General features: G+C 46.5%; 1 long non-coding RNA gene across 1 annotated transcript, besides 4 other annotated features; it reads left to right on the forward strand.

The window, feature by feature from the left end:
* Positions 1-80: 80 nt before the first annotated feature.
* LOC124904435 (uncharacterized) lies at positions 81-3,384 on the forward strand. Its single transcript, XR_007066679.1, has 3 exons — positions 81-644; positions 2,618-2,755; positions 3,296-3,384. It is a non-coding gene; the product is annotated as an uncharacterized LOC124904435 (long non-coding RNA).
* Positions 10,250-10,544: a silencer, noted in NCBI's record as "tiled region #3039; HepG2 Repressive DNase matched - State 8:EnhW, and K562 Repressive DNase unmatched - State 5:Enh". NCBI's record gives its function as "represses a minimal TATA promoter and a strong SV40 promoter by Sharpr-MPRA in HepG2 and K562 cells {active_cell/tissue: HepG2 | K562}" and the evidence as "EXISTENCE:reporter gene assay evidence [ECO:0000049][PMID:27701403]".
* Positions 10,250-10,584: a biological region, named in NCBI's record as "Sharpr-MPRA regulatory regions 3039 and 8536".
* Positions 10,290-10,584: a silencer, noted in NCBI's record as "tiled region #8536; K562 Repressive DNase unmatched - State 5:Enh". NCBI's record gives its function as "represses a minimal TATA promoter and a strong SV40 promoter by Sharpr-MPRA in K562 cells {active_cell/tissue: K562}" and the evidence as "EXISTENCE:reporter gene assay evidence [ECO:0000049][PMID:27701403]".
* Positions 12,260-12,761: an enhancer, noted in NCBI's record as "H3K4me1 hESC enhancer chr1:159882219-159882720 (GRCh37/hg19 assembly coordinates)". NCBI's record gives its function as "activates a minimal SCP1, AML or CMV promoter by ChIP-STARR-seq in naive H9 embryonic stem cells {active_cell/tissue: H9 hESC(naive)}" and the evidence as "EXISTENCE:reporter gene assay evidence [ECO:0000049][PMID:30033119]".

Consider the following 12,819-nt stretch of genomic DNA (forward strand, 5'->3'; position numbering starts at 1 on the left):
CGTTACCTTGGCAACCACTAGCCCGCGTTCTTCGGCTCAGGCCCCGCCCCCGGCCCCGCCCCTCCCACCTCCAGCGGGCAGTTGCCTTGTGCTGGTGGCTTAGGAACCGGAGCCCGTCGCTCCAACCGTTGCAGCTCCACGCTCCAGCCCAACCGCGGCTCTGAAGGATTGACCCGCCCTGGCGTGCCCTGCTCTCCACTTTGGCTTTGGCCAAACTTTTCGGTCAGAACCCGAACCTAAAGAACTTACTATGGGCCGAGGGGGTTCTAACTGTCAGCGGCCCCAGGAGCCTGGCCCAGGGTCACAGTTTTCCCCTGGGACTTCACCTAGGTTGCTATGATTACTCTTGCCCCATTGCCCAGGAGGCGCCAAGCCAACCCCTGATGAGTGTAGTCTGCAGAGAAGCCAGCAGGATCAGGACAAACCAGTTCCACAGCAGGAGAGAATCTGGTCGGGTCAACAAAGAACTTCCAGCCCTGAGGATGTCTATGCAGTCTCAAGAGCAGTTTCTTAAATTGCGGGCCTCAAATCTGCAGCTAAGAATCACCTGGGAGAGTTTATTAAAAATGGAGGCCCTACATTAGAATAAGTCAAAAGCTAAGGAACTGACTTTGGGGAGCTTGTCTTTTAACACTTCCTAGCTGGTATGTATTGTTCTAGAAAGTACATAGGGGTTTTGTCATTTTTTCCAATTTGGTTTGGCCTCTCTACCTCCCAACTTGCAGGGCTGGCACTGAGCTCACTTTGGTAGGCTGCATGCTCCAAGCCTCACGAAGCTGTCCCACCAGACCAAGGACATTTGTCTTCCTCCAGTGCTGATTAGCTGATTAGCTAAGCTCTTGGTGTGACTCTGTGAGTCTCTGAGCTGCTTTCTCAAACCTCTCTCCAAACCCTCACAGCCAGTCTTTCTGAAGCTCTTACTCCAACTTGGGCACTGAAGGCTATTCACAAGCCCCGGGGGAATGGAAAGAGGGAGACAAGGTCACTTCTTGCTGCTTTTAAAAGGACTTACTCCAACAGGCTTCACATTCCTTCCCTAGATTTCCCAGCCTTTATCTCCTTTGGGATCAAGAGTACAAAATTGTGTCCCCTGCCCAGTCCCACCAAGTGTTGAAGGCTTAATCAGAGGGAGAAGGGAAGGCCTGAAGAGGAGGAGCACAGTCCCTGGGAGGCTTGGGACTGAGAGAAGGGGCTGTTTTGTTCGTGGGAACCTTCCTTACTAAGCCTTGGCATTAGAACCCCGTTCCCTGCAGCTCAGAAAGAAGGGAAGACAAGTAACCGGCCCACTGTGAATAAGGTGCTTCCTGTATTCACCCCATTCTCCCAGGCACATCTGCATGACATAGTTACTATCCGTGTAACCAAAGAGGAAACAAGCCAAGAAAAAACTGTCCAAATTGAAAATCTATTCTTTTCTCAGCCCAGGGTAACTCTCTGAAGAAAAGGTGCAAAGTTGAGGCAGAAAGGGCTGGGCGCGGTGGCTCATGCCTGTAATCCCAGCACTTTGGGAGGCCAAGGTGGGCAGATCACGAGGTCAGGAGTTCGAGACCAGCCTGGCCGACATAGTGAAACCCCGTCTCTACTAAAAATACAAAAAATTAGCCGGGGGTGGTGGCAGGCACCTGTAATCCCAGCTACTCAGGAGGCTCAGGCAGGAGAATCACTTGAAGCCAGGAGGGGGAGATTGCAGTGAGCCAAGATCACTCCAGCCCAGGCAACAATGCAAGACTCTGTCTCAAAGAAAAATTAAAAAAGTTATGGCAGGAAGGAGGGAATGACAGAGTGCAGTGTAAGGGACTTGCCTCCCAGCAGGCAATTACATGCCTGTAATCCCAGTACTTTGGGAGCCCAAGGCAGGAGGATTGCTTACATCCAGGAGTTTGAGACCAGCCTGGGCAACATAGGGAGATCCCATCTCTACAAAAAATCAAAAATTAGCCAGGCATAGTGGTACATGCCAGTGGTCCCAGCTACTTGGGAGGCTGCACTAGGAGGGTCACTTGAGCCTCGGAGGTTGAGGCTGCTCTGAGCCATGATCGTGCCAATGCACCCAGCCTGGGTGACAAGAGTGAGACCCTGTCTTGAAAAATAAAATAAATAAAATACAATAAAAATTTATCTCAAAGCTAACAATGCTTAAGCTTCAGGCCTCTCATTTACGTAAGCACATGTCAAGGCTCAGAGAAGAACCCTTGGCCATGTGTCTACAGGCATACCTTGGAGATACTGCAGATTAGGCTTCAGAGCACTGCAATAAAACTAATATCACAATACAATGTGAGCAACACAAATTATTTGGTTTCCCAGTGCATAGGAAAGTTACATTTGCACTATACTGTAGTCTATCAGGTGTGCAATGGCATTATGTCTAAAAAAATGTGCATACCTTAATTTAAATATACTTTGTTGCTAAAAAGTGCTAACAATCATCTGAGTCTTCAGAGAGAGTCATCATCTTTCTGCTGGTGGAGGGTCTTGCCTCAGTGTTAATGGCTGCTAACTGATGAGGGTAGCACTTGCTGAAAGCAGAGGTGGCTGCAGCAGTTTCTTACAATATGACAACAGTGAAGGTTGCCACATCAGTTGACTCTTCCTTTCTTTTTTATTTTTTTTTCAGATGGAGTTTCACTCTTGTTGCCCAAGCTGAAGTGCAATGATGCGATCTCGGCTTACTGCAACCTCTGCCTCTCGGGTTCAAGATATTCTTCTGCCTCAGCCTCCAGAGTAGCTGGGATTAGGTGCACCACCACACCAAGTTAGTTTTGTATTTGTTTGTTTGTTTTTGAGACGGAGTTTTGCTCTTGTTGCCCAGGCTGGAGTGCAATGGCACAATCTCCGCTCACTACAACCTCTGCCTCCCGGGTTCAAGAGATTCTCCTGCCTCAGCCTCCCAAGTAGCTGGGATTACAGGCATGCAGCACCACGCCCAGCTAATTTTGTGTTTTTAGTAGAGACCGGGTTTCTCCATGTTGGTCAGGCTGGTCTCAAACTCCCAACCTCAGGTGATCCGCCCGCCTCCGCCTCCCAAAGTTCTGGGATTACAAGCGTGAGCCACGGCGCCCAGCCGACTCTTTCTTTCATGAAAGATTTCTCTGTAGGATGTAATGCTGTTTCATAGCATTTTACCCACAATAGAACTTCTTTCAAACTTGGCATCAGTCCTCTCAAGCCCCGCCGCTGCTGTATCCTCTAAGTTTATGGAATATTCTAAATTCTTTTTTGTCATTTCAATAATGATTACAGTGTCTTCACCATGAGTAAACTCTTTTCTGTTTGTTTGTTTGTTGTTTTAAAGCTCCATCGTCAATGGAATAGGAGTAGATTCTACCCCCTAAGAAACAACTCCTCACCATTCCAGTTTTATCATGAGATTGCAGCAATTTGATCACAACTTCAGGTTCCATTTCTGATTCTAGCTCTCTTGCTATTTCCACTATGTCTGCAATTACTTCCTACACTGAAGTCCTGAACCCCTCAAAGTCATCCATGAGAGTTGGAATCACCTTCCTCCAGACTCCTGTTAATCTCAATGTTTTGATCTTTTCTCATGAATCATGAATGTTCTTAATGGCACCTGGAATAGCAAATCTTTTTCAGAAGGTTTTCAATTTACTTTGACCAGATTCATCAGAAAAATCATTATCTATGGTAGTTATAGCCTTACAAAATGTATTTCTTAAATAATAAGACTTGAGATTGGAAATTACTTCTTGATCCATGGGCTACAAAATGGATATTGTGTTAGCAGAAATGAAAACAATATTGCTCTTCTACTACATCTCCATCAGAGTCTTTGGGTGACTAGATGCATTGTCAATGAGCAGTAATATTCTGAAAGGAATCATTTTTTCTGGGCAGTAGGTCTCAACAGTGGGCTTAAAATATTCAGTAAACCATGCTGTAAACAAATGTGCTGTCATCCCTGCTTTGTTGGGCCATTGATGGAGCACAGGCAGAACCAATTTAGTATAATTCTGAAGGGCCTTAGGATTTTTGGAATGATAAGTAAGCATTGCTTTCAACTTAAAGGAACCAGCTGGCTGGGTGCGGTGACTCACGCCTGTAATCCCAGCACTTTGGGAGGCCTAGGCGGGCAGATCATTTGAAGTCAGGAGCTTGAGACCAGCCTGGCCAGCATGGTGAAACCCTATCTCTGCTAAAAATACAAAAAAAAAAAAAATCAGCTGGGCATGGTGACATGTGCCTGTAATCCCAGCTACTTGAGGCATGAGAATCACTTGAACCCATGAGGCAGAAGTTGCAGTGAGCTGAGATTGTGCCGCTGCACTCCAGCCTGTGTGACAGAGTGAGACCCTATCTCAGAAAAATAAAAAATAAAAAAATAAAGGAACCGGCTGTGTTAACCCCTAACAAGAAAGTCAGCCATCCCTTTGAAGTTTTGAAGCATTGACTTCTCTCTAGCCATGAAAGTCCTAGATGGCATATTCTTCTGTAGAAGGCTGTTTCATCTACATTCAAAATCTGTTAGTGTAGCCATCTTCATCAATTGTCTTAGCTAGATCTTCTGGACAACTTGCTTCAGGTTCTGCATCAACACTTGCTGCTTCACCTTGCACTTTTATGTTATGGAGATAACCTCTTTCCTGAACCAACCTCGGCTCGCTTCAAACTTTTTTCTTCCTCACTTCTCTCACCCTTCATAGAATTGAAGAGAGTTAGGGCCTTGCTCTTGACCAGGTGGACTTTTTTTTTTTTTTTTTTTGAGTTGGAGTCTCATCTGTCGCCCAGGCTGGAGTGCAGTGGCGCAATCTCAGCTCACTACAAGCTCCGCCTCCTGGGTTCATGACATTCTCCTGCCTCAGCCTCTCGAGTACCTGGGACTACAGGCATCCGCCACCACGTCTGGCTAATTTTTTTGTATTTTTAGTGGAGACGGGGTTTCACCGTGTTAGCCAGGATGGTCTCAATCTCCTGACCTTGTGATCTGCCCGCCTCAGCCTCCCAAAGTGCTAGGATTACAGGCATGAGCCACAGCGCCCGGCCCAACTAGGTGGACTTAAGGGAATGTTGTGGCTGGTGTGGTCTTCTATCCAGAGCACTAAAACTTTCTCCATATCAGAAATAAGGCTGGTTTTTTTTGCTTATCATTCATGTGTTCACTGTAATAGCACTTTTAATGTCCTTCAAGAACATTTCTTTTGTATTTGCGACTTGGCTAACTGGCATGAGAGGCCTAGCTTTCAGATTATCTTAGCTTTTGATGTGCCTTCCTTGCTGAGCTTAATCATTTCCAGCTTTTGATATTTTTTTTTCAAAGAGAGACAGGGTCTTGCTGCATAGCCCAGGCTGGACTCCAGCTCCTTGGCTCAAGCTATCCTCCTGCCTCAGCTCTTGAGGAGCTGGTACTATAGGCATGCCTTCTCACCTGGATCAGCCTTGGATTTAAAGTGAGAGACAGCAACTCTTCCTTTCATTTAAATGCTTAGAAGACATTGTAGGGTTATTAACTAGCCTAATTTCAATATTGTTGGGTCGAATACACACAACATTTATTGATTCAGTTTGGCGTTTATACAGGTGCTGTTTGTGGTGCCCCAGGACAATTACAATAGTAGTATCAAAAATCACTGATCACAGATCACCGTAACAGATATAATAATAATGAAAAAGTTTGGAATATTGCAAGAATTACCAAAATGTGACACAGAGACATGAAGTGAGCACATGGTGTTGGAAAAATGGTGCCGATAGACTTGCTCAGTGTTGTCACAAACTTTTATTTTGTAAAAACCACAATATCTGTAAAGCGCAATAAAGCACAGTGCAATAAAATGAGATGTGCCTATCATTCAATAACAGGAATAGGTAGGCCAGGCACAGTGGCTCACACCTGTAATCCCAGCACTTTGGGAAGCTGAGGTGGGGGGATGGCTTGAGCACAGAAGCTCAAGAACAGCCTGGGCAATATAGCGAGACTCCATCTCTATTTTTTCTTTTACTTTTTTTTTCTTATATTATTAGATGAAATTGAAGCCTATCCACCCCCATTAAAAAAAAAAATAGAGGATGGGAAGCTGAGGCAGGAGAATGGCGTGAACCCAGGAGGCAGAGCTTGCAGTGAGCCAAGATGGTGCCAATGCACTCCAGCCTAGGCGACAGAGCAAGACTCCATCTCAAAAAAAAAAAAAAAAAAAAAAGGAATAGACAAATTTTTAATAGAATACATAGGCATTTGGATTGTTTGTAATCTAATAAGAAGAAGGAAATTCCATGAATATGTTGGGAAAATACTAAATGTCTTGTTGATTTGACATAAACATTGACATTGGTGGAGATTGTGTAAAATTCACATTAGCACACTAAAGTGAGGGCCTATGATGAACTGGTTAATGAGTGCCATCAATTCAAAGAACATTTAGGAGCCGGGCATGGTGGCGCATGGCTATAGTCCCAGCTACTTGGGGGCTGAGGCAGGAGGAACCCTTGAACCCATGAGGTCGGGGCTGCAGTGAGCCGAGATCATGCCACTGCACTCGAGCCTGGGTGACCAAGTGTGACCATATTTCAAAAAAAAGAGAACATTTAGGATTAATTACTGAACAATGGTCTGAAATCATACAACTCATTTAAAAATTTTAATACAGATTTTCCCAAATTGACAGCTATCATAAAAATTGACATGATTTACAAAGAACTGTGAAGTGAAACATTCTAATCTGTAATAGAACTGTTGATCAATCCATGCCTGTGATATTTATCTATCATTTATCTATCAATCATCTATATATATAATTTTTTTATCCACCATTCCTGGCTCATAACTCCCATAGATAGTCTTTTGTTATAATGTTGGGGTGCTCTAGGCCTCAGAAGCAGGCCTCAGGAAACAGAATCTCTCTCTCTTTGATCTTCTTCTGCTCTCCTTTCATCTGCCCAAGGTAAGACTCTAATCTGGTTGTGGGCCACAAGACCCTCATTCCAGAGAGTCCTGCCCCATACCTAAATGAAGGAATGCTGCACAGAGAGGCCAAGAAAAATCTGAACAGACAGGTCCTGCCAGGTTTTCCCCAGTCAGTCTGTTATTCCCTTTTGTTCCAATCATATTTCTACACAATGTCCATGCTTCAATCATGCCTATCCAACGAAGTCTCCATAAAAGGCCCAAGAGAACAGGGTTCAGGAGCTTCCAGATAGCTGAAGACCTGGAGGTTCAGGTGTTCAGCTGAACCTGAACACCTGGTTGGAGAGGGGTGGAGAGGGCATGGAAACTCCACACTCCTTCCTCCATATCTCACCCTACACATCTCTTTATCTGTATCCTTCACAATATAGTTTATAATAAACCAGTGAACGTAAATGTCACCCTGAGTTCTCTAAGCTGCTCCAGCAAATGAATCGAACCCAAAGGGGGGTTGTGGGAACCCCAACTTAAGCCGGTCAGTCAGAAGTTCCGGATACCCAGACTTGTGACTGCTGTCTGAAGCAAGGAGCAGTTTTGGAGGCTGAGTACCCAACCTTTGGGATCTGACACTATCTCCAGGTAGGTAGCATGAATTGCATTCGAGCTGGTATCTGCTGCAGAATCAACTGCTTGTTTGTTGGTGGGGAGAAGACCCCCACATTTGATCACAGAAGCCTTCTGTCTGCCTTGATTGTTGTTGAGTGAGAAAATAAGGAAAAGAACTTTGAGTGTTTTTCCCACACTTACAATGCCAGAGAAAAGACTGAATTGTCTTTCTATGCTCTCTGTAGCAAATAATATGATAACATTGTTGTCATATGAAGAGACAAAGTGTATGCAGGCAACAATGTAAAGATAAAACTATTGTATTTTAGAGTTGCTTCAAGCAATTAATTCACACAAATCCTGTGTTACTTTTCTAAATCTTATGATGTTTATAGTATTTGCCAGGTTTTTTTAAATTTGTAATTTGTTGTGAATTTATTATTCAAAACAAATGTTTACTTCTGTAATTAATCTTAATAATTTTTTGTTGTTTTTCACAAATGGAGCTTTCGAAATTGTATAAGCTTCATACCTCACAAAACCAAGGTCCACCCTGATAAGTAGGGAGGCAACCTTCCCCTTCTCAGCAAAACTTGGCTCAAAACTGCAGCCATATCTGGTGCTGCTGGGGGTGAGGAGCGGGGGTGTCCTCACTCTCACCTCCCAACCTAGGCCAAGCTCCACTCACTCTTCTCCTCCCTGTTGTTTTCCAGCTTTTCTTTCCCCCTTTTCTATTTGTGCATCTTTAGAGTCCCTTTCCTTCCCCCAAGCTCTCATTTCACTCTCCTCCTAGTTCTTGATCCCATTTTCAACCCATTCTCACTGCCCAGCAAGCCAAGGACTGAGAACAAGGGGAAAAGTTTAGAGACTAAAGATGCCTGAGAAAGAGAGTAGGTCCAGATTCTCTGCCCAACCCTAACCCCACCTCGGGCTCCCTGACCCTTCCTACTCCCAGAGAAGTCTCAGAATAAAGCCTGATTGTCAGCCAGGGGCCAGGAGCTCAGATCCAAGACAGTAGCTGGGTGCGGAGGAGGCAGGAGCAGAGCCCAGCAATCTTGGGCTGGACTTGGTCCTGGCACCTCTACCTCACAGCCACTGGACCTGGGTGCTGGTCACCCCGCTGGCCCCCAGGTTCTCCCTGCACGGCGGAGGTGGGAGGGATAGGAATTTTGACCCTCTGATGAATAAGCATATTTAAATGAGAGGAGTCTGGGAGACAAGGTCCAGCACAGCCGTATGGTTACAATGAAAAGTCTAGCCTGTTACTTGAGCATGTCTCCTGTCTAAGAACAACGAGAAAGGAGACTGGTTCCCTGATTCTTGCTCTGTCCTTCCCGTCCCCTTCCCTCCCTCCCGTCCCCTGCCTTCCCCTCCTCTCTTCCCTGTCCCCTTTCTCTGAACCGCATTTAGGAAACTGCACCTCCCAGTGCAGGGATCAGAGATGCTGAGGCTGGATGTGAAAGAAGAAGGCAAAGAAACTGGGATGGGGATAGCAGGACCATAGAGTTGGAATGAGATATGGGGTTTCCACATTCCTGTGGAAGAGTCTTTGCAAGTGCATATAACTTGTGTTAATGTTGGTCTATTTCTCTCATGTTTCCTCTGAACTCCTTTGCTAACTACTGGGAATTCTCCAGGATAGGGGTCCCCCCTTCCTTTGGAACTGTCCGCATTGCCCTATATAGCCTCTGCTCCCATATTAGGGGTGCCCACCCCCCCAATAAAGGAATTCTGCAATGCCCATTCAGTCCTCAGTACAGCATCATTTCTTCTAGGCCTGGTTCCTAGTCAATAATTCCATCTAGGATATCCTAGAAGAAGTCTCCCTGATTTGTGTTCCCTGGGGGAGCAAAGTGAAGAAGAGAAGTGGTGACTAATTGTGGAGACAGATTAGCAGGTTTTGAACCCTGGCTCAGCCACTTAGAGCTGAGAGGCCTTGGGTAACTTGCTGAACCACCTGGGCCTTGTTTCTTAATCTGTGAGATAGGGTAATAGCCCCAAAGAGAGATACCATGAAGATAAGACCAGGCTGGAAAAATCAATTTGCACAGTGTCTGGCTATTTTCTTTGCACTTCTTTCCCCCAGAGCATGGGAATATGGTGGGGCAGGGGGGGTGGGGGGTATTTGTTCTTAATGTAATATAAACACCATCAGGAATCAGAACATAAATCCTCCAAGTTGCATAGAGGCCTGAGAGGCTATTTCACTATTTTCATTATTCTCCTTCCTGGAACACTTGAATTCTCAAAACTGCTTCAAAGTATGGCTTAGAACATAAACAAATACTTAAATGCATTAATTATTTTATTCAACTATTTCCTGCCTTCCCTCTTTCTTCAAAACTTTTTCTGTTTTCCATTCTTGAAGACTGTCAGGGCTTCCTGCTACCTTCTGAGAGACCCGTGCATGCGGCACAGAGAGGGGAGAGAGTCTGAAGAACAGGAAAAAATTTGGAACCAAGGAGAATGAGTAGGGGTGAATAAAGCTGGGGCAGAGATGTTAGGGTGAGGGTGGTAGTGAGGAGTACTGAGGGGTGCTTGCGGCTAGAGGCCCTAAGTCTAGAGAGCAGAGGGAGGAAGGAGGAGAAAAGGGGACACAGGCCAGGCCACAGTATTATTGGTGCCCCTACTCCCAGGGAGGGGGAATTAGGCCATGAATGAGGAGTTGAAATGCCAGAGTAATGACAGACAGAGCCCCAGGCTCTGACCAACCCCCTTCCCCACATTCCCATAGTGCGATATCTCCTAGACCAAAGAGAAAGACATTAACAAATCTGCAGCCTCCCTGCCTTCTTGAAAACCACATCTCCACCATCTTGCCCGCCCCAGGTCCTTGGGCCAGCCTTGCCCTGGTATCCTAGACACGCCTCTGCACGCCTGGCACCAGCTTCCCCTCCTACGTGACCAGCACAGGCCCTGGACTGGGTGGCGGATGCTGAGATAAGGCCAAGGAGGGGGAAACCACCAAAGCCAGGAAGTTACACAGCCTGGTTCCCCTGGCAACCTAGCCACAGTCACCAAACAGTGCAGGGTAGGGGGTAGGGCCAACTCTTGTTCAAGGCCTCAAGGCCAGGGCCTCTCAGACCTCAATTTTCTTGCTGGCTGGAGAGACTTCTCCCCCGAATATCCTAGGTCACTGCTGCCTAAGGATTATGGGGGAAGTCTGTTTAAATGCAAATTCAAGATACCACCTCCACTACCTCTGCCACAGATTCTCAGTCCATAGGTCTCATAGGTCTAACTGGAATCTGCATTTCTTTTTTTTTTTTTCTTTTTCCATTCATTTAACACATTTATTTGTGGAAAGCCTACTCTACCAGGCAGCATGGGGAGGCCCAGCAGGGTATTAAGATAGTCACAGTCTTGCCCATGCAGAGAGCACATCCCTCAGTGACCACTGGGCCTTGTGTCTCTATGACAAGACCACATCATGGAATCTGCATTTCTAACCAGCAAGCCAGGAGAGTCCAATGCTGTCAGTCTGAGGACGTCACTCAGAGAACAGAACAAGTTTTAAGAAGTTGAGATTCCTTGTAGCAGGGTTAGGAGAAAACATACGATAGGAGCTGGGGTATCCCACCACCCTGTGTCCACTGTAGTCTACAGCCAAACTCATCTCTAGGGGTACACTTGACTTTGGGTATTTTCAACATCAAGTGAGTGACCAGGAGTCCAGAGACCCAGAATCTAGTGCATACAGAACCAATTCAATACAATGAACTTGGACTGAGCTCCTTCTGGGCCTGACACTGTCTGTTCTGAGACTTGTGAGCCACACAAAGATACATAAGGCATGCTTTCTACTCCCAAGAACACTGGGACCCTGGGCAAATCACTTACAGTCTCTAGGCTTAGCTCTTCTCTTCTCTCTAAAGGGTATAAAACTACTAAAGCCCTACCAAGAGGCGACAAGCCTCTCTGGAATTAACAGATATGCTAATGCCTTGAAAATGCAACTCTCGGGTATCGTCCTGAGAGTTGTGATAGCTTTTATTGCTGGAGATAAATGTTGGCTGTCTGAGGAGGGTCCAGAGAGATCAGGGAGACTTGGGGATGGAAACCTCAAGTTGTAGGATCCAGGGGCTGGATCTCAGGTACTCTCCATTAGTTCCCATCTAAAGCTGCCAGATCCTCGCTTGCCTCAGAGGAGTGGCACCTGCAGAACTGAACTTCCTGCACCTCTTCCCAAACCTGACCTCTTCCTTCCTCCACTGTGGCCCTGGGCCTCCACTCACAGAGAAACCGTAGCTCAAGTCCGTTGCAGGCTGAACCCTTCCCCAGGGTCAGCCACCTCACAGGGGAGCCCCATGACAGGGTGAGCAATAGCTTGGGCTTCAGTGGTAAGAAGTTTAAATCTGTTTTTCCACTAGCTGGGTTCAGCAAGTTACTTTTATTCTCTTAGCTTCAGTTTCCTCATCTATAAAATGGGAGAGAGGCCATGGGCGGTGGCTCATGCCTGTAATCCCAGCACTTTGGGAGGCTGAGGTGGGTGGATCACCTGAGGTCAGGAGTTCGAGACCAGCCTGGCCAACATGGTGAAACCCCATCTCTGCTAAAAATACAAAAATTAGCCAGGTGTGGTGGCAGGCATCTGTACTCCCAGCTACTCAAGAGGCTGAGGCAGGGAGAATTGCTTGAACCTGGGAGGCGGAGGTTGCAGTGAGCCGAGATCATACCACTGAACTCCAGCCTGGGCAACAGAGCAAGACTCCATCTCAAGAAAAAGAAAAAAAAAAATTCAGGTCCTGCCAGCAATGATGTGAAACAGCTGACAGTCCCAGTGTCTGAGGAAGTGTTTATATAACCCCTTCAGACCTACCCCCAGCTCCATTGATGTTGATCTGTCCTTACCTGATCCCTGGTTCTCACCCTGACTCAGGCCTTTTTGCCCTTCCCCACCCCAGGCAGGAAAGAAATAGCCCCTCGCTCCACACTGAAACTTGACTTCTGACCACACAAAGCCAGGGACTGCTCCTTTTTCCAGAGCAGTCCCCCCAGCTGGCTCTCCTACTCCCCTGGGCTGATCAGGGGAGATGATCCCTGAGGTACGCGGCCTCAGCTCCCCATGACATCACCACCAGTCACCATCCAGGAATTCATCCAGAGCATTGAGAGGGAGGCAGTAGTCTTCCCAAAAAGCCCTATTTGCATTTCTCCAAAGGCAAATGTCACAGGTTTCCTAAATTATTGTGGCTTCTGGCCTGCGTGGTGGCTCACACCTGTAATCCCAGCACTTTGAGAGGCCGAGTTGGGTGGATCACCTGAGGTCAGGAGTTTGAGACCAGCCTGGCCAACACAGTGAAATCCCGTCTCTACTAAAAATACAAAAATTAGCCGGGCGTGGTGGCACA

The sequence above is a fragment of the Homo sapiens genome, chromosome 1 (genome assembly GCF_000001405.40).
Source record: "Homo sapiens chromosome 1, GRCh38.p14 Primary Assembly".
NCBI classification, from domain to species: Eukaryota; Metazoa; Chordata; class Mammalia; order Primates; family Hominidae; genus Homo; species Homo sapiens.